This window comes from Homo sapiens, chromosome 5 (genome assembly GCF_000001405.40).
Source record: "Homo sapiens chromosome 5, GRCh38.p14 Primary Assembly".
NCBI lineage: Eukaryota > Metazoa > Chordata > Mammalia > Primates > Hominidae > Homo > Homo sapiens.
The window spans coordinates 143,168,438-143,191,728 of record NC_000005.10 but is presented as its reverse complement, the minus strand read 5'-3'; the positions used below and the strand labels follow the sequence as shown (position 1 = coordinate 143,191,728).

At 42.6% G+C, this 23,291-nt stretch overlaps 1 protein-coding gene across 34 annotated transcripts in view, besides 2 other annotated features; it reads right to left on the bottom strand.

Moving 5' to 3' along the window:
* Positions 1 to 23,291, bottom strand: part of ARHGAP26 (Rho GTPase activating protein 26) — a 458,635-nt gene that overhangs the window by 37,283 nt on the left and 398,061 nt on the right. The window contains exon 21 of one of the 34 annotated variants that reach the window (XM_047416986.1): positions 18,472 to 18,770. The exons of the other annotated variants lie outside the window; for them this stretch is intronic. Coding sequence (XP_047272942.1) covers positions 18,689 to 18,770 — 82 coding nt within the window. The 3' untranslated portion in view covers positions 18,472 to 18,688. Of the gene's footprint in view, positions 1 to 18,471; positions 18,771 to 23,291 lie in introns of those variants that run through there. 34 annotated transcript variants of the gene reach the window in all.
* Positions 7,867 to 7,916: an enhancer, noted in NCBI's record as "active region_23329". NCBI's record gives its function as "activates an Ori minimal core promoter by ATAC-STARR-seq in GM12878 lymphoblastoid cells {active_cell/tissue: GM12878}" and the evidence as "EXISTENCE:reporter gene assay evidence [ECO:0000049][PMID:35858748]".
* Positions 8,237 to 8,396: an enhancer, noted in NCBI's record as "active region_23328". NCBI's record gives its function as "activates an Ori minimal core promoter by ATAC-STARR-seq in GM12878 lymphoblastoid cells {active_cell/tissue: GM12878}" and the evidence as "EXISTENCE:reporter gene assay evidence [ECO:0000049][PMID:35858748]".

Here is a 23,291-nt window from a genome sequence, read left to right as displayed (position 1 = left end):
TGTTCTTGCTCCTGGCTACTGGGTGGTGGCGCCCAAACTCAGTCATGAGTGTCCCACCTTCATGACGTTTGTCACATCTGTGTATCACATGTAATTTTAATACATATTTTCTTAATATTTTCTTTAGATTGATCTCTTTAACAAATGTCTACTTTAGCCCATTGCAAATAATATCTCATTATTATTAGTATATAGAATAAAGTTCACCCAAGCACCACTTAAAGCTATTTCAGCTATCTCAGTGTCACACAGCTCACATTTTGGAAATTTCTGTTCTCGGCCACTAATCCTTTTATACCCTCTTGTAAAAGTGTGGCATATATTTTCCCAAGATCTACTTAATTATTTGGAAGAGCCAATTTAATGAATGAAAAGCATATTTGTCCACTCAAGCAAGGTGTACACAGTCATTTAATGTTTCTCTCTTAATTTTGGTATCATTTGTCTACACTACCTACAGAATAATAAAAACAACAACAGTTATCAACATTTAAGGAATGCTTTGTACTCCTGGGAGAGTTTAAAACAGCTTTATTGAGGTATAATTTATATACCATGAAATTTATCTGCCTTACTTAAGTGTACAACTTTTAGAATACTGATGGAGCTGTGCAAGCATCATCCATATTCAGTTTTATAATGCCACCATCACCCCAAAAAGGTCCTTCCTGCCATTTGCAGTTAAGCCCTGCTCCCATGCTCAGCCACAGGCAACCACTGATCTGCATTCTAACTCTAGAGATCTGCCTTTTCTAGATATTTCACAAAAGTGGAATTGCATATTGTGTGGTCTTTTGTGTCTGACATTTCATTTAGCATGTTTTCTGAAGTTCACCCATGTTCTGGCGTGTATAAGTAGTCAATTCATGTTTATTACTGAATTCTATTCCATTCTATGGACACCATGTTCTTATTGAGTAGTAAGATTTCTGCATAGATTCTGGATACAAGTTCTTTATTAGTGATAATATTTGCAAATATATTTTCCCAGTGTGTGGCTTGTCCTCTCATTTTTTCAGTGGTGTCTTTTGAAGGGCAAACATTTTTAATTTTGGTCAAGTTCAATTTGTTAATTTTTTTCTTTTTAAATTGTGCTTTTGATGTTAAATCTAAGTATTTGCCTAACCTACACATTTTCTCCTATGCTTTCTTCTAGAAATTGTCTGGGAATATCTTTATTTCACTTTCATTTGAGAAGAATAGTTTTGCTGATCATAAAATTCTTGGTGGACAGCTTTGTTTTTTCCTTAAGCACTTCGAAAATTCAATGTATATCTAGCCACCATGGCGCACAGAGCCTCCCTCTTATGTTCCTGACATGCTGCATCTGCTACTCAGGCAAACTGCAAGCACCCTGCCCCGTGCAGCACTATTCATAATATGTGCCCTTGCCTGCAATCTACTGAAGCATTTTTACTTTAAGAAGCATGTGTTGGAAGATATAAAAGAAAAATATTTAAAACTGTTTATGAGCAAATTTCCTCAAAAAGCTTCAGAAGCTGGTCCATTTGTGCCATCTGTTATAAGAGAAACTAGAAACCACCTGTCTGTCTGCCTGAGCTCTGCTCTTACCAAGGAAGCTGTAATTACCTCTTTGGTGAAGGATTTGAATCATTACAGTAAATCCTTATTCAGCACATATTGTATTAGGAAGGCATTCTGAACCCCAGAAACCAGGTCTTTTTTTTTTTTTCCCCCCCCTCCTTCTGTCCTCCAAAGATGTAGTAAAACCTTAGCTATTAGGAGCCTGGAAGAGTGAATTGTGCCTTAGCCTTGTTTACTACTCAACAATAAATATTTAATAATCAAATATTTACTTAGCACCTAGTACATGCTAGGCACAGTTGTAGGCACTGGAAACACAGCAGGTAACAAGCCAAGCAAGCCCTCTGCTCTCAGGCAGCTTACATTCAAGTTCAGTAGGCTTCAAGGTAGGGTGGGCGAGAACACAGGCTGGTGGAGGAGAAAAATATCAAAGCTCCTATTGGCATTTTAAATATCTGATTCTTATAACATTTATATTTTTTATGTTTTCTAATGTGTGTAATATAGCAATTACTAAGGCAGGTATACACTTTATAATTAAGTAAATAAAAACAAACACTTATTGGAAGTACATGCTTTTTGATAATATTTTAATTATTATCCTAATGGAAAAAATTTAGGAAATACTACTTATGAGTGTGTAAAGCAGAAAATAAACTCGTAAACAACCAAAGAAGATAATTTTAGGTGGTATTAAGAGCTATGAAATCAACTAAAATCAAGGCAGTGTGAAAGCAGGTGCCTGGGTGGGGAGGGTGTGTGGGTGTAATTTGGATTCTGTGGCTAGGGCAACTTCTTTTGGGTGACATCTGAGCCGAGATCTCAACAAAGTAGACTGCTGAGGGCTCACTGTCTTAAGCCCAAGTGCATCTTTTTTATGGTTAAACATTTAGGATTAAAACAAAGCTAACCCCCATTTCTGCCTAAGCTCCTTCACAGTCTCTTTGCTTAATCACAGAGACTTTTCCCAGAATACTATGTGAACTTAATGGAAAGGGTCCTATTTTGAAAGAACTGTGGAAAGAAGATCAGTGGTAAACATTGGCCTGTCTGTAGCAGAATTCCCAGTAGTAGCTGATAACAGCAAAACATACTTTTCCTGCAAGAAATTGTTTCTTGGTAAAGCTAAAAAGTCATTCTGTTTAGGGAAACAAATGCTTGCCTTTTCAATGAAGTCTCTGTGCACCCTTAAAAGAGTATGTCGCTTGTTCCATTTTGGAAACGGGGAACTACACAAGCCCCAAACAAACAGCCCAGGGACTTCTCTTCTTCTGTGTAACCTGCCACATCTCTAGCTATTTGCAGGATGCAACACACTGTTTGATACTACAGTTATTACACCTCCTTTTTCTAGGTTACCCTCACTTTCACTACCTGAGATGTAACAGTTCTAAAGTTCTACTCACTTTTTGTCAGTATATTTATGTTAATTCACTTGCAACGGTATTCATGGTCACAGTGGTACAAGCTCATTCAGTTCCCTTCAGAAATCATCAGTCTACACTTTCAAATATACCTACCTGAAATGTTAGTGAGGGTAAACTTTCCACAATGTCATCCCCAAAACCCCACAGCATGTCTCTGTCAGCTCTTCCTTCTTCCAACATTGTCACCCAGCCTTATCATGACAAAATGGTACTCTACTATATATACTCAAATTTTCTGTCATTCTCCCAGAAAACTATAGGAAGGAAGGGAGACTCCCCTCCGGGAAGGACTATTACAAATGACAAAATTACAAAAATGAAAGAAAATCAAATGTACTTTACAAAATGGCAAGTCCTAACATTAGCAAGAAATTGAATGACTATGGCAGGGTTGGGGCCTAAGAAGCTATATCTTCAAAATACTATTCCTGCTCTGGCCTTGTGGTTCTGATGAGCAACCAGAGATGGGAACCACTGATCTTGGTTCCTATTGTGTTCTAGGTCAGCTCTGGAAATGACTGGGAAGTGTGAATGCCCCCACGTATTGTACTTAGTAGCAAAACACTGTTGTGATTACTTTGTTCCTCTAAAACCTTTTATTTGTTTGCATGGATTTTATTATTCTTTTTGGCTCTGGAAATATGTGTAAGCTTCTTATCCACTGAATTAATAAACTTTTAGTGCTAATCTGAGATTTGGTCAAAAGAACTGTAGGGATTCTGAGAAGGGAGGGATCAGACTGGGCTGGTGTAGTTTGCGAAAGTGTCCTGTGAGATGGAATGCTCTCATTTTCCATTTTTGGGTTCAAAATCAAGGGGGCTGTGGCCTCCTTACAGCTGAGAAGGGACAATCAGTGTCAAGAGCAAAATGTTTCTCTCTGCTGAGGCAAGACATAGCAACAACACGAAGTCCTGCTTCTAAAATAACAGCTCCCAATGGATAGAGTGCACTTATGACATGCCAGGTAGGGCTGGACACTCCCCTGTCACTGACTCGTCCCAACAGTCCTGCAAGGGCAGCCCTGATTTTGCATAGGGGTAAGCTGCAGGTTGGAGGGGTTGAGTCATTTTCTAAGAGCCAGAAAGTGCTGGTGCTCCGCCTGACCTCAGGCAAACTGACGTCGGGAAACTGGGCTTTTCTGAATGCCTGTGCCACTGTTCTCCTCTGGCCTTGCCTGTGTGGCTTCCACAGGGCGGATGGCTCAGAAAAAAGCTTCCACACGCCTCCTCCACAAGCCCGGCAGACACAAGGGACCAGGAAATGCCTGACACAAACCAAGCAGACTTCCAGAAAATTTGCTTGAATTGCCCTAGAAGCTGTTGAAACAGGTGAAATGCCATTCCATGATCTCATAAATACACATTAAATAGAAAAGAGGAAAAAATGGCTTGGAAGCTTCTCAATAGTTTCATGGGTTATCTGTTTTCAGAGAAAACTTGTCATACTTGATAAGCAGATTTCTAAAAGAAAACAATATTCTTAAGAATACTGAATTAACAGTTAAGTGCAGGAGTTTAGGGTCAGATAGCCTTCAATTACTGGCTCTGCCACTTATTAGCTGTGTCACCCTGGGCAACTTAACCTCTGTGTCCCTCATTTTCTTTGCCTGCAAAATGGGGATCATTAATAATACTTACACCTCATAGGATTGGTGATAATTAAAGGAGATAATATATACAATATACTTAGTATATTAAAGCCTGGCATATAGTGTTTACTAAATGGTAGCTGTTATAATTAGAATATGCTTGGCTTGTCCTGAAAAAATGCTGCTTTTATTTTAAAATGAAGAGTAGATTTAAGGACTTGGTATTTGTACCATCTCTAAATCCTAAGGCACTGATCCACACAGAAGTGAAAATGAAGACAGAATTGCATCATCATGCAACCAAATGGAAAGAGAGAAAAAGTACTACATCTCAGGTTCTAGAGCTTTCATTCTAGGATTACTTCCTGTCTTAGCACAGCCCTGTCACTGTGTCTGCACAGCAAAGCTCCCCAATGGAAAATGTTCACAGACAAGTTCATAGGTGCTCAGGTTGTATTACCAGTGGCAAATAGGTCCACAGGTATCAAATTACCTGTGCCCAAAGCTCAAAATTTCATGTTCACATGGAGGTGTCAATCCTGAGCTCTGGCTCATTTATGAAACTTCAGTAAGCCCCAGACTCTTCTTTCAGGGCAGGAAAACAGGAGATGTCTGTTTCTCCATTGGTTTGCTCAAAGAAAAGCTGGTGTTATCAAAGAGAGGCTTGATGTTGTAGCAAATAGGCCTGGGAAGATGGGGAAGAATCAGTACCTCCCAGTCCACACTCATACTGATGGTGGCATAGTGAGGAGTCTGAGTCCCTAGGCACTGCTGTGGATGGCTTCTTAGGAGCCCCATGTGGAGATGGAGTGGGGACAGGGTTGGGGGAAAGGGACAGAGTCACAGGGCATTACTTCCTCCTTGGGGTTGGCTTTATCCTTGGACTCCATGTTCTTAAAAGCAGCATGACATAACGTTTCATACAAATGCTGCCAGAGATGGCACTGCTCATTCTTATTATAATACTCTACAAGGTGATATTATAATATTCCACAAGGTGAGTGACAAACAGTTCCCATTCCTAAGCTGGACAAGGTAGGCTGGACTGGATCCTTGAATGTTAGGCTTCTGAGAATGGCTTTCTTGAGGGTGGCAGGTGGGCCATTGCAATAGCTTTCCTCCCTCCTTTTCCTTCTGAGCCATGGCCTCTTAACTTCTTACTTCTCTCCCTGCCCTCATCTCTGCAGAGAAGCTAAATCCTGGCTCTTTAAATAGGATGGCTCCTTTAGGAAGACAGGCCTAGAGGACATTCAGTGAGAAACTTCCCACCGGGGATGCAAGGTCAAGTGGGAAAGCAAGGGAGGGGTAGTGCAGGCAGAGTGTGGCTGGGAAGCTTCACTCCTCTGCTCGCCAGCCTTGTGACAACTCTGCCTCACTCCCCTCTTTTGAAAACGAGGGTAAAAGTTACCCTAAAGGGTGTTTGTGTGGACTGCAGGAGTTAACATACATCAAGAGGTGGGCACCGTGTCTGGTAAACAGAAAGTGCTCTCTTGACAGAATGGCAAGGATTGATACTTGCTGAACCGGATAAAGTAGTGGAGTTAAGGAAGGAAATAAATAGCCTTAGGGTGTGTGCAGCCATTTTTTGCTTTTGGAAAAATTTGCTTTTGGAAAAGCAAAAATAAACAAGGAGGACTCCAGGGCTCTGCTTAATTCAAATATTCAGAGCCAGCTTACTTTCTTTCTACTTCGTTTTTGGTAAAAGAAAAAAAGGAGGGATGCCCCATAACATATATTTTTAATGCAGAAATTTTTTCTTAATACAGAAAGAAACTTTGTTGTTTCTAGCTATAAAAAGACTTCATACTTATTGTTAAAAAACAACAGGCAAAAGACAAAACCAAACCAATCTTATCAGTACTCCTACTCCAGGTACCACAGTTAACACATTAGTGACTATTTTAGAACCTTTCTTTGTGTATATATGTATCCATACATATTTCATCTTGTGCATTAAAATGACACCATAATTTACATACTTTTTCACTCTGTTTTCTTCAACAAAGTAGTTTTGTTATGTAATATCCCCATATTAATAAACAGTTATCAGCAATATAATTTTCAGTAGTTGCATTGTAGTTCATGGCTGTGTGAAAACTACCCAACCATCAGTATTGTTGGACATTTAAATTATTTCTCTTACTATAGTAAATAATACAGGGGTAAAAATCCACTCACTGTTGCATAGACCTCTCATTAATTCCTTCTGATAAATACTAGGGGTGCAGTGGCTGAGTCAAAATATAAGCCCATCATAAGGCTTACAACACGTATTGCCAGAAAGGTCGCACTCCTTTATAATCCCACCCCCAGTGGGGCAATTTGGCCTCACACACGTTCCTTCCCTCCTCTCCCCTTTTTCAGTCTCTTGAGTATATGGATTTTGTTGCCTCTGTCCAATGAACTCATCAAGACTTGCTAAGGCAAAAATGGGGCAGATCCAGTCTAGGTTCAAACCATCCCTCCAAAAGAAATGAAAGCTCTAAGAGGGGACTTCTCTGAACCACTGCAGTGTTTCAGAACAAGGGGGCCGATGAGAGACAGGAGGGTAGATTTGTTCTCCCTTAGCCTCTTCTCCTGAATTAAGAATTACTGGCTTCCCCCAGTCCATCAGTCAGCAAGCTGAGTCTGAACACTGAATTATAGCAAGGGAATGAATGAGCTTTTATATAGTAGATACACACATGCTGCACACACACAGGCACACAGACCCCCACCCACGGCACCTCCAGCTGTGATGCTGGAGACACTCTGGCAGGTAAAATGTCCCTCCATAACCCTCAGGGAATCACCAGGGAATGCTCCTTATACATGTTTTTACGGGAGAGACAAAAGGATAAGCAATAATACATTAATTCAGGTTAGGGGGAGGCCTGAATATTTGTAATGAGTATTTCAGCTAGTCCAAAAGAGGCATTCTCTACCCCCTAATGGGCAGGAAGGGACAGCTGGCATTTCAGACTTGGCAGATCCCTCCTGAAAGATCAATGTTGTCTCTGTATTGGATAGCCTGATCTGGTCCAAGGTTTATTTGTTGAAATAGATAATGTAATATTCAGACTGTCAGCATTTGCACACATACACTGCTTTCCCTTAACCCCTTTCCCCCATGAAACTTTCAGAATCTAAATACTTTACCCCTTTATTCAAGGGTCAGAGTTTCTGAACAGGGGCAAAGGGAACTTCAAACCATTTGGTTACCATGAGGAGAGGAAAGAAGGCAGGAGCATCAATCTTTAAAAACTACAGGTTATCCAAACTTCTACTGAAACTTAAGAAAATGGAGTCCTTCCCCAAGTCCCTTCTACTATATTCTCCACCAGCATCTCTGCCTGCTTAGGAGCACGACAGAGACAGGCGCAGAGACACTGCTGAGGAGCCACAGGACTCACACTGGTAGTCAGAGACCTACATCAGACACTAAGGAGTTGGTGGAGGAAGCCATTCCCCTGGTACGCCTTCGCCCATAACCAGAGGTAGGGGTGGCGTCCGAGGAGGCCCCGGGGGAATTTCCACTGGTGAATGCAGCTGCTGCTTTCTTGGCAACTCACAGTACGTGTGGGCAGGGAAGAGCTCAAGAAATGAGTTGCCTGCAAGCTGCTCCCCGGCACAGGATGGACTGTGGGTGAGTTTTGCAACTGTTCAGGATAAGGCCAACTCCCGGTGGGTTAGCACCAAAGCTGTGAGCTTTGTGTTCTTCCAGAATAGTAGCTGAGATGAGCTAATAGTACTAAGAGTTAACATTTACTGAAGGCTTATTACCAGGCAGGTCACGGAGCACACGGCTCTCATTATCTCCTCAATCCCCACGATAAGATCAGCAGGCAGGTCCTACCATTAGCCCCATTTCACAGGTGAGGAGACCATGTATATGAATTTGGCATTCTGAGGAATCACAGAAAACCTTCCAGGACATTTTAATCTGGCCCTATGCCAACCCACCTCTTGCCCCTCAGCTCTGTAAATATTTGGCAAAGCACTGTGTTTATACATCTTTTGTGAGATTATACTGCCACCAAGAACAGCCGAAATTCCCCTACAGGCCTTATCTAGGAAAGGAAATGAGGTTTTTTTTTCTTTTTTTTTTTTTTTTTTGCCACTTTTCATTTGCATGAGGCATAAGGAGAATAACCCTAAAACCAAAGCAGCTAACCCATTGTCAACGTGTTGCATTCAGACAGTCAACAAAGCCAGACAACCACGGGGCCTGCTGGGGCACTTCCCAACTGGTAGCACCAACTTTCCAAAGGATCTATGTCACACAGGATTAGGAGGACTACAATAAAACCAATGACTGTACCCTAAAAATTAATTTTCTTGACAGGATTTATGGAGATGACTATTTACATGGGGCTTGATTTTGAGAATTGGGTGGATAACGACAGAGTGACTGTTTACTTAAGAGAACTGGCATGGCCAGGCCACCACACACATAGAGCAAGGGATTTGTCTTTATAGCCAGGAAATTTCAGGGCTATGAGTATATAAAAATCAATTGTTATGTGAATTATCTCCTAGGCCAATTAGCTAGAGTAGACAATAAATGATCTTGTGCATCTTCCATGTTAATGACAGGGTTTGGGTAAAGGAGTTCATAGCTTATCAACAAACCAAGTTTTATTGTTTTTTTAAACTAAAACGGATTCACTTAACAAATATTTAGGAAGCATCAGAGCCAGGTCTTGTCCTAAGTGCTGAGAATCCTGTGATACACAAGACAGGACAGGCCTTACTCTCATGGAGCTTAGTGTCATGAGGAGAGACAAACGAGTGAAATACCGGGCAAGAACATTTCAGAGGGAAACCTATGGAGTTTCCCAGTTCATCATCTGCAAGCCACTCTTCAGCAGATGATGAACTGTGGATGAGTTTTGCAACTGTTCAAGATAAGGCCAACTCCCAGTGGGTTAGCACCAAAGCCGAGTGCTTTGTGTTCCTCCAGAATAGTAGCTGAGATGAGTTAACAGTAGTAAGAGTAGTAAGAGTTGTCAACTCTTACTACTATTAGGGAAATAACACAGAGTGATGTGGTAGACAGTGATGGGTGTGGGGACAGAAGGGTCAGGGCAGGCTATAGCATGTAAGGATCAGGGAAGAACCTTCTGAGGCAGCAGGAGCAGGTGCTGCTAAGGCCTCACAGCGAGAATGGATGTGCTTTGTACGGGGACAAGAATAAGCACAGGAGCGTACAAGCCAGGGAGGCAGCCGTGTCAGGGGAAGTCGGAGAGGTTAGTTAAGTCAGGTAAACAATGGCTGACCATGTAGACCATGAGAAACAGTTTAGATTTTATTCTATGTGCAGCTCTAAGCCACTGGGGGGTTTTAAACAAATTCCTGAATCGGAGGCATTGCTAAACCTGTAACATAGTTAAAGAATTAAAAAACAAAAACAAAACAAAAAGTCCTTAACATCTCAAAGACACTGGCATCTCCAAAGTGCGGAGCTAAAGTTCCTCTTTTTGCAAAATGAATTGTCCAGAAATCTATTCCGGTGTAATTCATTTGTTTACTCATTCATGTCACGTATAAATAAATGTTTGTCACTCTGTTCCAGCCACTGTGCTTGGCACTGAGGAGATACAACTGGGAAGACAGGTATGGCCCACAGAGAATGAGACAAATAACCAGGTGATGACAACACACTGATAAGTGCCCCACTGGGGATGATGCTTCCCTAACACGCGAGAGTTCTCCCATCAAGTTTAGGGAGCATGGAGGAGGAAGGTGTAAGGAGGGGGAAGCAGGAAAGGCTTTCTGAAGGAAGTGATGTTTAAGAACACAGTGTTCCCCAGAGATGAGAGGAAACAGGGCAAGGTTGCAGAAGTGCAACAAGTACAGTAAGGTCAAAGTAAAGAGTGTAAACAGACGCTGCAATGGCAAGCCAGAGTAGGTCACCCAGGCCTCCCAGTTAATAAAAGGATTAAGGAGTATATAGTATCCATGGGGCCATCAAAGACTCTTATGCAGGAGAGTGCTGTGTTCAAGCTTGCATGGTAGAACAATCCCACAGGTTTCAGAGTAGAGAATGAGCCAGTAAAAAGGGTCAGGAAGGCCAGATGGCCAAGGCTTGGGCTGAGGTGGTGGCAGTGGGGATGGTGACTGGTAGGCTGCTGTGAGAACAGAATCAACAGGTCTTGATCATTGTTGAGAAGTCAGTGATGAGTAAAGGAAGCTGGCCAGGTTTCCATGCACCAGATGGAATTCATGGAAACAGGGAGACACACAGGTGTGGGTGCAGGGGAGGAAGGGGAACCATTCATGTGTAACAGTCAACTGGCTTGGCAGACATTTGGGTAGATGGGCCTAAAGAACAGGTAGGAGATCTGGGATATGGTTTTTGGCATTGATATGGTTTGGCTGCGTCCTCATCTAAATCTCATCTTGAATTGTAATTCCCACATGTCTAGGGAGAGACTGGTGGGAGGAGACTGGATCATGGGGGTGAATGCTCCGTGATAGTGAGTTCTCATGAGATCTGATGGTTTTATAAGGGACTCTTCCCTCTTCGCTCCTAACACTTCTCTAGCCTGCCGCCATATAAGACATGTCTCTTCTCGTTCTGCCATGATTGTAAGTTTCCTGAGGCCTCCCCAGCCATGCGGAACTGTAAGTCAATTAAACCTCTTTCCTTTATAAAGCACCCAGTCTCAGGTATTTCTTTATAGCAGTGACAAAATGCACCAACACAGATATGTTGCTGATAAATGGAACTACAGAAAGGGACAAGATCAACTGGAGTTAAGAAGAGAATTTAAGGTGGCTTATGCCTGTAATCCCAGCACTTTGGGAGGCTGAGGTGGGCAGATCACGAGGTCAAGAGATCGAGACCATCCTGGCCAACATGGTGAAACCCCGTCTCTACTAAAAATACAAAAATTAGCTGGGTGTGGTGGTGTGCACCTGTAGTCCCAGCCCCTTGGGAGGCTGAGGCAGGGGAATCGCTTGAACCCAGGAGGCGGAGGTTGCAGTGAGCCAAGATCGCACCACTGCACTCCAGCCTGGGCAACAGAGTGCAACTCCATCTCAAAACAAAACAAAAAAAAGAGAGAGAATTTAAAACCTGACTCTCTGAAATAAGAACTCTTAAGGGGAAAGGAGCCTTCAAAGGAGGCTCCTTTGAGACAGAGAGATGTCCAGAAAACTTCAAGAGTGTGGTGCCACCAAAGACAAAAGCAAATTGAGGGTTTTAAACCAACAGGGCTCTTGACAATGACCATTGTTGCCAGAAATCAAGTAAAACAAGGCGTGAAAGGGGTCATGAGGTTTGACAGGGAGGTCATGGTAACCTTGGTGAGAGGCAGTGTCAGTGGGTTGAGTGGGGACAAAATGCAGGCTGACATGAGGCATTCCTATATTTAGTTTTAAGAGTAGGGATGAAAAAAATTCAGCACAGGACTTTCCCCACAATAACAAATGAAGTGTGGAATTACCAAACATTGGAAATAACTCCAGATTTTTTAAATGGGAAATAAAAGGGAGCAAATTACTTCAGACAAGAAAAGGCCCAAGAAACCCTCTGGAGAGTCCTCCTTCCAGATGTCTTCTGGAGTGGCCACCCAGTGGCTTGCAGCTAAGAACTCTCCTTCTCTCCCAGGGAGCCAAGCCCCAGGTGTGGGGAAGATGCCCCAGGGCCAAAAGCCTACAGGCATAGCTCACAGTGTCTGTTCTGAGCAGCAAGGGCAATGTGCAGGAGCAGTGATCACAGCCAGCAGAGCAGAAAGTCAGTCACAAAAAGCAACGCAACCCAGGAGATCCCAGGCTGGTCCAAGAAGTTGATGCAGTCCCTGTTTTCACTTGGGCTCCCACAGCTCTCTTCGCTGCCTCTCTTGCTCGTACACCCAACAAGTATTTAGTAAGTGCTGCCTTGGTGCCAGGAAAGGTACTAGATGCTGAAGAGGAATAAGCCCTCATGCCAGCCCTTGAGGAGTGTGCAGTCCAGTGGGGGAAAGCTGGTATATTAATGTCTGATAATCATGTATTTATCATGATACATGATAAATGGCTGGGCGCGGTGGCTCACGCCTGTAATCCCAACACTTTGGGAGGCTGAGGCAGGTGGATCGCTAAGGTCAGGAGTTCAAGAGCAGCCTGGCCAACATGGTGAAACCGGGTCTCTACTAAAAATATAAAAATTAGCCAGGTGTGGTGGCAGGTGCCTGTAATCCCAGCTACTTGGGAGGCTGAAGCAGGAGAATCGCTTGAACCCGGGAGGCGGAAGTTGCAGTGAGCCCAGATTGCATCACTGCACTCCACCCTGGGTGATAGAGTGAGACTCCTTGGAAAAAAAAAAAAATCATATAGTTAAGTGGGGTGTGGTGGGCTCAGCAGCCTAGAGTCAGATGATTTCTAGGTCAACCACTTACAAGCTGGGTGACCTTGTACAAGTTAGATGACTTTCCTGAACCTCAGTTTCCCACTTGAAAAACGAAGTATGAACAGCCTCCCTCCTGGGGCAATCGTGAGGAAATGTGAAGCTCTCAGCTCAGTGTCTGGCACCAAGGGAGCCCCCATGGGCAGCAGCAGCTGTTGTTAAGTACAACGACAGAAATGAGCACCAGCTATTGTAGTAGCGCTGAATAGTGGCACCTAAGCCAGTCAAGGGGCAGGGCAGCAGGGAAGGCTCCCTGGAGGAGGACTCAGTGGATCCTAAAAGAAACAGCAGATGTTAGCAAGTGTAGGTAGGGGAAGCAAATCCCATGTGGAAGGAACTGCAGTCTCCCATCTTTCTATGTTTCTTGCAAAGTTGTCACCCTCATACAATGAACACAATGCTCCTTCTTCTGGGTACTGATTCAACAGAAAGAGCACTGAACTTTGAATCCAAAGGTCCAGGCTTGAACAGGAGCTTACAGGTTAAGACTGCCACACAGGCTGGGCACGGTGGCTCACGCCTGTAATCTCAGCACTTTGGGAGGCTGAGGTGGGCAGATCACTTGAGGTCAGGAGTTTGAGACCAGCCTGGCCAACATAGTGAAATCCCATCTCTACTGAAAATACAAAAATTAGCCGGGCATGGTGGCATGCACCTATAATCCCAGCTACTTGGGAGGCTGAGGCAGGAGAATCATTTGAGCCTGGGAAGCGGAGGTTGTAGTGAACAGAGATTACACCACTGCACTCCAGCCCAGGTGACAGAGTGAGATGCTGTCTCAAAAAAAAAAAAAAAAAAAAAAAAAAAAAAGGACTGCCACACAGACTTGAACAGGCCACTTATGCCCTCTGAGCCTCAGTGTCCCTCATTTAGAAAATGTAGGAGATAGTAGTTGCCCTGCACTCATCATGCTTTCCATCCGTATTTATCACACACCTGGAAAGAGCACCCTCAAGTGCTGGGGAAACAATAGTGAACAAGAAACAGGTGTGGGCCTGACCTACGTTACAGCTTAGAGCAGGAATCAGAGAAGAAAATGGGCAACTATAGTACAGTATGCCAAGTGCTATGATTTGGGTTAGTGCCAAAATCAAATGAAACACTCTGCAAACTGTTTCAAGTGGCTCTGAAAACTGAAAAGCACTATAAATATATTTTGTAGTATTATTGTTATTCCTGACAGCAGTGCCAGCCAGATCCTAAGCCTATCAGAAATTTTTCCCAACTTCTGGTCTGCCGACAGCACCTTGTCTCCAAGGCAGCTATGGGTGAGCATGCATATCAAATACATGTACGTGTCTGCTACTGACGTGCCAGCTCTGCCAGGTTTTCTGTGGTCTGGTAATCAACCATGACTGAGCGTCTTGGCATTCGATGAGTCCTGTTTTCACTGGGGAGCATTATGCTTGGTGATCTCACATACATTTCACGGATCCAAATCCTACAGGCTCGTGATGCAGCCTGAGAAGCTGATTCCTTCATTTGACAAGCACTATGTAGCAAACAAAAGCCAAACACTATTCTGAGAGGCCAACTAGATGGTCCTTGGTCCACAGATGATCAACTTAGTGAAAAAGACACTTGGGAAACTAATATGATGAAGTGTTATCATTTATTCTAGATTGTATATAGTGAGTGATCATATAACTTATCACCCAAACCAGCACATTGAAGCAGAAAGGCGCAATTAAATTTATACCAGGGCAACAGAACTAACAGGCAAATGAAGAGGTATGGTCCCTACATATAATATAAAGGTCAAATGGCTTGTTCAAAGTAATGACAGATGAGTGCCAGAGCCAAAGCACATTGATATTGTAGCCTAATTAGATGTCACTCACAGCTTTGCTTTCCACAGAACTAGTTATATACTTTACATGGCTCCTTGCAATACGTAATTCTCTTTGCAAATTAGATCCTAAAGGCATTTACGGATTCTGAGATTATGAGCTGAAAATTGCATAACGATGAAAATCAGACACCCGAGTCTCTTTTATGGTGGAAATTTTCATTATAGTATTGAAATTTAAGTTTCAATGCCAAATGTAGACCTCTGCCTAATGGTCTGCTACTTAGGTTTACGTTAAGCCCTTAACTAAAGTAATTCCTTCCGCAGGCTCCAAAATGAACTGTCTTTCCAAGTGCTTTTTAACATCAAAATTTAAAAGCTGTCTCTAAGCTACCCTGGGGCGAAGGTAAATTAATTTCTCATTTTTAGGCTGGCTCTTTACATTCAGTGGTGAAAGGACTTCTATGTCAATGCATATGAGCATGGAGGTGGTGCTCCCAGGAAGAAGAACCAGAGGAGGGACACAAAAACTCTCGAAAACAAACATGCCATGGTGCTTGGGAGTCACTATTCTGCCCAAAGGGTTCGCCTGCCAAGCCTGCAGGTAAATTCCCATAAGAAACTTACTTTCAAAGTAGAGTCCCACTGGATTAATTCCTACCATCTAAGAAGTGAACGTCAGTTCATAAATATAAAAGCAGAAGTGGCTGGCAAGTCTCTTATGCAGTCTGCTGAGCAGCAGATGGCTCACTACACAGGCATCATGACTTTTCATTTTTAAGGAACAAATGCTTGGCTAATCTCTGGCTAAGAGAAGACATAAATCTCATAAAGACAATTCTGTTTCATTGTCACGTGTCATATTTCATTTATTTATTTATTTATTTACTTATTTGAGACACAGTCTCACTCTGTCACCCAGGCTGGAGTGCAGTGGTGCCATCTCAGCTCACTGAAACCTCCACCTCCTGGGTTCAAGTGATTCCCATGCCTCGGCCTCCTGAGTAGCTGGGATTACAGGGGCACACCACCACGCCCGGCTAATTTTTGTATTTTTAGTAGAGAAGGGGTTTCACCATGTTTGCCAGGCTGGTCTCGAACTCCTGACCTCAGTTGATCCACCTGCCTCACCCTCCCAAAGTGCTGGGATTACAGGCGTGAGCCACTGTGCCTGGCCTATTGTGCCATATTTCAGATGAGGAAATTTAAAAATTAAGGGAAAAAGTCAAAATTGGCTAAAAACAAAAACCTTCTTATGGCAGTTCTCTCTCAAACCTAAATAAGAATCAGAAAGAAACCCAAGCCTGCTTTTGCAAAAATACTAAACAAACAATAATTCCCACACCCCACATATGCCCAATAGTATAAAACTTCTAGACCAGGTGTTGAAGTCTGTACCAACTGAGAAGGGCTGTTTATTAGAAATCTCTTACATTTTGGTATCCAACATTCTTCATTAAAAAAAAAAGTGTACCATTTTTTTCGAGTAGACACTGAAAATTTGGTTTAAAAAACAATCTTTTTTCTAAAACATTTCTGAAAATATCTTACATACTTACAAAAGAAAAACTCATGCTAAGTTGAGGTCTGACAGATAGCCTTTCTCTGTGACAAGATGACATCAAACACATTTTCCTTCACTGTCACCACAGAGTGCCACAGTCCTCTATCTGCAGGCACCCCTAAGCATTTTGCTTATGCTTCTCATGAGCTGCCTTTCAAGATGCTGATTAGTCCTTTCAATCATTAACTGTTTACAAGTTCTGCCAGCTGCAAGCCTGACCCTAGATTTCTGAATTTTTACTGGTTAAAATAATACCACCACTTAGTCATCTGTGAAGCACCAAAAAGTAAGAGTTAGCCCTTAGGTCAGTTAAATAGCCTTATATAGCAGAGAGAACATTTGGGCTCCTTTTATGTGGGGAAAAGAAAGTCTTTTAAAGAGCTAGAGCAACAGATGTATTCGGAGCACACAGGTTCTCTCTGGCATCCTTCCTGTAGCTCCACATCAAATTTGAAATGTAGTTAAATCACAGATTTACACTTAAGCTTCCTTATCTCTGATAATGGACTTGGAAACATATCAAAGAACCTGCCCATGTGTACTTATCAGTCCCTGACAGGTATGAGGCTTAGAAGTTCAATACAGGACTTTCTTGCTCACTTGTTTAGAAACTCAGAGGTAGTGTATCAGCAAGTATTTGGCTGAGGGTTCCAATTACCTATGATCCTATGTAATCCCATATTGCTAAAAAGTTGCCTGCTTATAGACTACAAATTTAAAATACTCATATGACGGCTAATTCACAACCATGGGATAGAGGTATATATCTACAAATAAATTATATGAATATGTTTCAACTTGTTTAGGGGATGGGGCATTTTCTCTCTTTAATTTTTACATTAATCTATTGCTTGGAATGGCTATTATATCAGTTGATAAAATTTCCAGACAGTATAAAAGGGTATCAGTATAAAAGGGTAGACAGGAAAAATAACTCTTCCTTCCCTCTCCAGAAGTAACCATTAGTATGAGTTTCTCATATTTTCTCCAGAGATACTAAATGAACTTGCAAGCTGGTGTGGGTGGATGTGTGTGTGTGATTTCACACTCCCCTTCCCTTTAAAAACAAATGACCACCAGTTATTCACATTGTTCTGAATCCTGACTGTTTTCCTTAACAGTATCTCCTGGAGATTGCTCCATCATTACACGAAAAGTTGCCTCCTCGTTCTTTCTTAGTGGCTATGTAGCATGCCATTGTGGAGATGTACAACAACATACCCAACCGGATCCTTAACACTGAACAATAGATTGTTACCTATCTTTTATTTTGCATGGGACAGAATCTCTGAGCTGGATAAAACAGAAGAGGCACTGAATGAATATTGACATTTTGTTCTACCTGCTGCCATCCTCCTTTTAAGAAATACTGATTTCTAAACAACATGGAGAGGCTATTGGAAGAAACAGATGTCACCCTTCCTGCTTTACACACAGGAAGATACAACACTTCTCTGTTTTGATGCTGCCCTCAAACAGCAACTGAATCTTGGGAAGAGGAGCTACTTAGTTTTGCCAAAACCAAATTCATCTTTGTGGGCAGACCAGCCTCAATGTCTAACAGCCTTCACCAAAGAAAAATCATCTTCAGGGTAAATTTTTTAGGTATAGGGAAGCCTAGGGTGCAGTCTAGGTCAAGGTCACCTCTCCCTTCCACACAGCATGACTCAGAACTCCAATTCTACTTGGGCTCTGATTTAGGACATTCATAGTCTTTGGACAAAAAAGCTCCCAAATGGTGAGGTGGGGAAGTCTCTGCAGTTAGATTTTGTGGACTTTGGGCAAGTTACTTAACCTTTCTGAGGCTGCTACCGGCAAAAATGGGAAAACAATACCCACCTGTCAGAAGTGACTGTGAGGATTAAGAAAAACAATGCCTATGTAAATTGCGAAGCGAAGTGCCTGAATTCGGAAATGTTGACTCTTACTAATAAAACAATGCAAAGCCACTTCGTTTTTGGAGAAACATCTTGGACCTGCCTAAAAATACGTCTCTTGAAAATTCTGGCCTGTGGTGATTTTCCGCTCTCCTGACTCCACTCCCTCTAGGCCCTCGTGGCTCCTGCACACCCTGCAGAATGGTTTGTTACTTCTCAGGCATGCAGCATGAGCCGGGTGCAGTGGCTCATGCTCGTAATCCTAGTGCTTTGGGAGGCCGAGGTGGGAGGATCAGTTGAGGCCAAAGAGTTCGAGGGCACTCCATATTTATTTTCTCCTTGTTTGTGCTTGCACAGTTCCATTTGCTTGCAATGTCCCCCATCTTCCCATGGGTAACTTTTACTCACTTACCAAGATGCAGCCCAGAGGGTGAGGCTCAGTGTCCCTCCCCTGGGTCCCACTGCATCCTGAGTCTGTCTCTGTCACAGCACTGCCAGGCTACCTTAAAGAAACCTGGGTGCAGGTCTCACGTACACGGAATACTACCTTCCCAACAGTATCCTGGCATGCCGTAGACATGGTAACTGCTTGCTGAACTCGCATGAACCCTATGGAGACAAGAATTCCAGTCAGCCTCAATAAAACATGATCTATGCCTCTGGCATCTTCTTTCAACCAACAACATGGGTATCTGCCCTTCGGGTATTTATATTCCCACAGACCTCAATTTAGAATACATGTCATGTAGCTCCTATCAAAAGCATGGCCAAGATAACTGGGATCCTCTAAGAGGGATCCTGCCTTCCACCTATCATTCTGTTACCAGGCCGATCACCAGCAAACATGCTTTCTCCAGGTTGTTCTCCTTGTTGCACCATAGTAAAAACAACCTTTCAATACTTCAGCTTAATATCAGACTCTGTATTTAATCAAAACCAATGGGAGTAACAGCCCTATATAGAGGGCCTCATTTATTTTTTGCATGAAACTGCTTTGGAAGATATTATCTATTGAGCTATTCAAAATCATTAATATAGAGATTCACATGACAAATTAATATTATAACTTGTAGCTCTTGATGAACTGGCATGCTTTTTTTGAACAGACAATTGAACTATACATCCCATTATATTTTTTCCCTTCTTTGTCGTGGCTGCTAGGTGGCTCAGGACAGTTTTATGATGAATTACTCTCTTCCTCTCTCAGCCTTTGTTAATCTTATTTTTTATTCTCATTTTACTCAACTGTACATGTATTTTTTTTTTTAAAGAGTAACAAGCCTCACATTCCTGGATTTTATTTGGTTATCAACCATGCTCAGAGGACAGTTGCCACCAGATACCTGGCACATGTCACCCAACTGTGCTCTAAACACACGCATGCATGTACAGAATTTGTCAGCATACAAAGACTTGAAATAACAAACAAATGCCTGCACTTAGTAAAGGCTTGGCATTCTTGAAAATGCTGCCTCAGTTTTAGCTGGCAATAGGGGACAAGCATGTATGTGATGGTTGCCTGCACAGATTTTGAGATGGACATAACACCCACACTGTAAAGTCATCACTTAATAAATCTATTGAAACCAGTCTAACCCTTAAGGGGACAATTAGACCTGGATTCTAAGAAATAAAAGGAAGGAAACAAAAAAAAATGCAGAGGAAGTTCAAATCCCAAATCGCAAACCTAACAGTAAATGGGAAATGTAATCAGTAGATGCTGGGATTGTGCCTACGCCAGAGATAAATACTGGGCTTGCAAACATCCTGCTACCACCTCTTCAATTTGGAAGAAAGCGTAGTGACAAGCAGATGGTCAGCTTTTGAGGGAAAGTTTTTAGTTTTGTTTTTAATGGCAGAAATGGGCAAATGTAGGAGGAAATCTCACAAGTATGGGAAAAAAATAGCTTACCTGAGATTGGAGAGTTATGGAATGCTTAAGGAAGTGACAGCACCTCTGGCAACATATTTAAAGTTTAAAGAGTTGGCTTGATAAAAGTTTGAAACTTGGGAAGTAAGGAGGTGTCCCATAAAACTTTATTCCTCTCCCCTCCCCTCTCCTCCTTGTGATGCAAGTACACAGCAACTGCCTCCCAGCAAAGGAATGGCCATATTCCTTGGAGTATGATCTCCAAGTATCTGTCAAATCTCAAGATCTCAAGTGCGGCTCTCATCTAGGGCTACAAACCATGGCCAGGAATGAGGGACTAGCCCTCAAGACGATGGATGACTTGTTGGCTGGGGGTCACACAGGCCTCAGCTCAAACTGCTGCTTTCTGTGACCTTGGGGAAGTCACTTTATCCCCCTGAAACCCAGTTTCCCCATCTGTAAAATGGGAATATTGATAGTGGTTGTTCATCTAACTGGGTTCTAAGATTAGATAACATATGGAAAAGCCCTAGGCTAGTGCCTGGCAACAGCAGATGGTCAATAAACATTCCTCCCATTCTTTTTCCTCCTTGGAATCCATTTTTATCCTTTATATTCTCTGTCCTTTATTATAGCTCCTTTCAAGGATTTCCTGCTCTTTTTTCCCCTCTCTTTTTCTCTTAAACTCTGGCCCGCTGACCTCTGTTTTTAGGTACTCATTCTCTGCTTCCTATTCTCCCATGCTCTTGTTGTCTCCCCAAACTCCCCCAGCATCTGATACTTGAACGATACCAGAGAATGGAGGGCAAGAAAAAGAAGAAACATGACTGGGCTGCTTCAGTCTCTTTCCCAACACACCCAGCTTCTGTAGCTTGCCAATACCCAACCATTGCCCGCAGAAGCAACTAAGCATAGTGGTTGTGGGTGGGGCAGTACTAGAACCTGACCACCTGGGTTCAAATCCCACCTCTACCCTCAGGTAAGTTAGGTAATCTCTCTATGCCTCATGTGCAAAATGTGGAGTACAACAGTACCTCCGGCATTATGTTGATTAAATAAGTACACACATGTAAAATGCCTGGGACACTGGGGCTTCCTTAATGTGAATTATCATTGTCATTACCACCATTATCATCACCATAGCTCATGGAGACTTCATTTCAACCTTTGAGAACAAAATTTGTTCTCAGGATATGAACCAGGCACTGGAAGATCAAACTGAGGTGGAATTTTCCAGCCGCTCAATGTGATTCCTGGCAGAAGAAACAGTTCTTATCCAAACTCATAGGTTTTGGACAATGTCACAACAAGTTGGAGACTTTTGCAAAGCTCGTGAGGTGGATGCTGGCTGCCCCACTGTTTCTGGCAGGCCACCAAAAGATGCCACCACCCAGTGGCCTGTGTCTGAGGAGCTCTCAGAGCTGCTGAGCCACTGTTTTTGCATGTTCATGGCTCTCACAGAAGACAAGGGGCCAGTCCTTTTCAGATTCTTTTCCTTCTGCTTAGTCACATTCTAAGATGCACTCTCCACAACACTGTCATTAAAATGAATGGAGGCCAGCCCCAGCACACCGGTGTTTGCCATTTGTTCTCTAATAACCTGTAATGGGCACTGATAATGAAAGCCTTTTCCCAGAAATTTGTTTTTTAAATGAATCAACTGTGTCCAGGGCTAAGTAGGAAGATAACATTTTCTTCATTTTTAAAAAACTATAAAATACGTTTTTCTTAAAGGAGGCAGTCAGTCAACTAGGAATAAAATAAATTATGCAAGAAGCCTTTGGACTGAAAAAAGGGGATATTTTCAGAGATCATATAAAACACTATTGAGGGGAAAGAAAGCAGTACAAATTTGGATCCTGGAGTGTAAAGTCACCAAATCCTTCACGAAGTCCCCATAAGAAAGGTCCAGTGTAGTGACATCTGTGGCTGTCTCTTCTCTGAGGACCACCCCTTCTCCATCCGCAGAGTCCGTGTGCCTTGGGTGTTGTTCTCCCCTCCCACCCAGTCAAGGGTGAACAGGTGATTCAGGCCCAGCCCCACAGAGGCTCACTTATACCCCTGGCCACAAAGATTGGTTAAGGGATGGGGATGGGACTCAATGTGGACCAACAGAAATTAGGCTCAGCCTGTATTTCAAACTGCTGAGAAAAAGAGGCTCTCTCTTTCTTTTCTGCTGGGCTTGGGCTTTTTAAGAAGGTAAGTCCAGCTGGTGGTAACCACCCTGCAATCAAAAGGAAAGAGCTTATCTAAGGAGAGTCAGCAAAGAGGAAAGCTGAAATGAGAGCTGGCAAGAGCTGGGTTCTGATGGCAACACCTGTGCCCCTGGACCCAGCCATGCCTGAATACAAATGTTCCTGCACAATGGAAAACCAGTAAGTTCCATTTTAGCCTAACTTATTTGGGCTAGGTTTTCTGTTACTTGCAACCAAGAACACTGATGGGTAAATCTGCTCAAGCTGACATACAGGGTCTTGAATAGAACTGTCTGTACATGTAAAAGATGTCACATTAGGGAAATTTACACCAGTGTTCAGTTTTCAGAAACATGTGAGGAAGACAGGAATAGCTCCTGTTAGAGCCCAGAGAGGCCCTGGATTGAGAGAAATGCAAACATTGCAAAAGCAAAGGCCCCAACAGTCACTTTAGTAGTGCATGGTGCTCTGTGACAATGTGTCAGACTATCACCACTGAATGTCTGGGATGCAGTTTCCATAGTTCACTTACAGTTTGAGAAAGAGAAGGGATGCTACCCATCCAAATGAAAATAAATACCACATGTACTTTAGCAGGTTTAGCATAGTAAGTGAAGGCTAAACAAAACAACTCTGTGTAAGGAGTAAAAATAAGCAGGCATTTTCTGTAAGTCTACGTGATCACTATCTATATCCTCTCCTTATTAATCCCACCATGAATCTGGTCTATCCTGATTGTTTCTGAGTTGCTTTACCCTCTCAGAGCCTAGAGCTAATCTCCTAGAGATATAGCCTAACTCCAAGGCAACCAAACAGCCTTTGCTAAAAGCTGAAGGTGTCAGAATTTGTCTGATGTGCTTAGTCTTGGGTTGCAACACAGAAGAGGAATACAGCTTATTTTTGAACCTATTTTGTTGGCTTTTTAACATTATAAAACTCAAAGCAAAGAGGATGATGCAGAATGTCGTAAGATCTTGTGTGACACTCAGAAACCAAAACAGGCCCTTTGTGGAAGAAAATTTGAGCAAAAAAAAAAAAAAAAAAAAAAAAAAAAAAAGAGTTCCA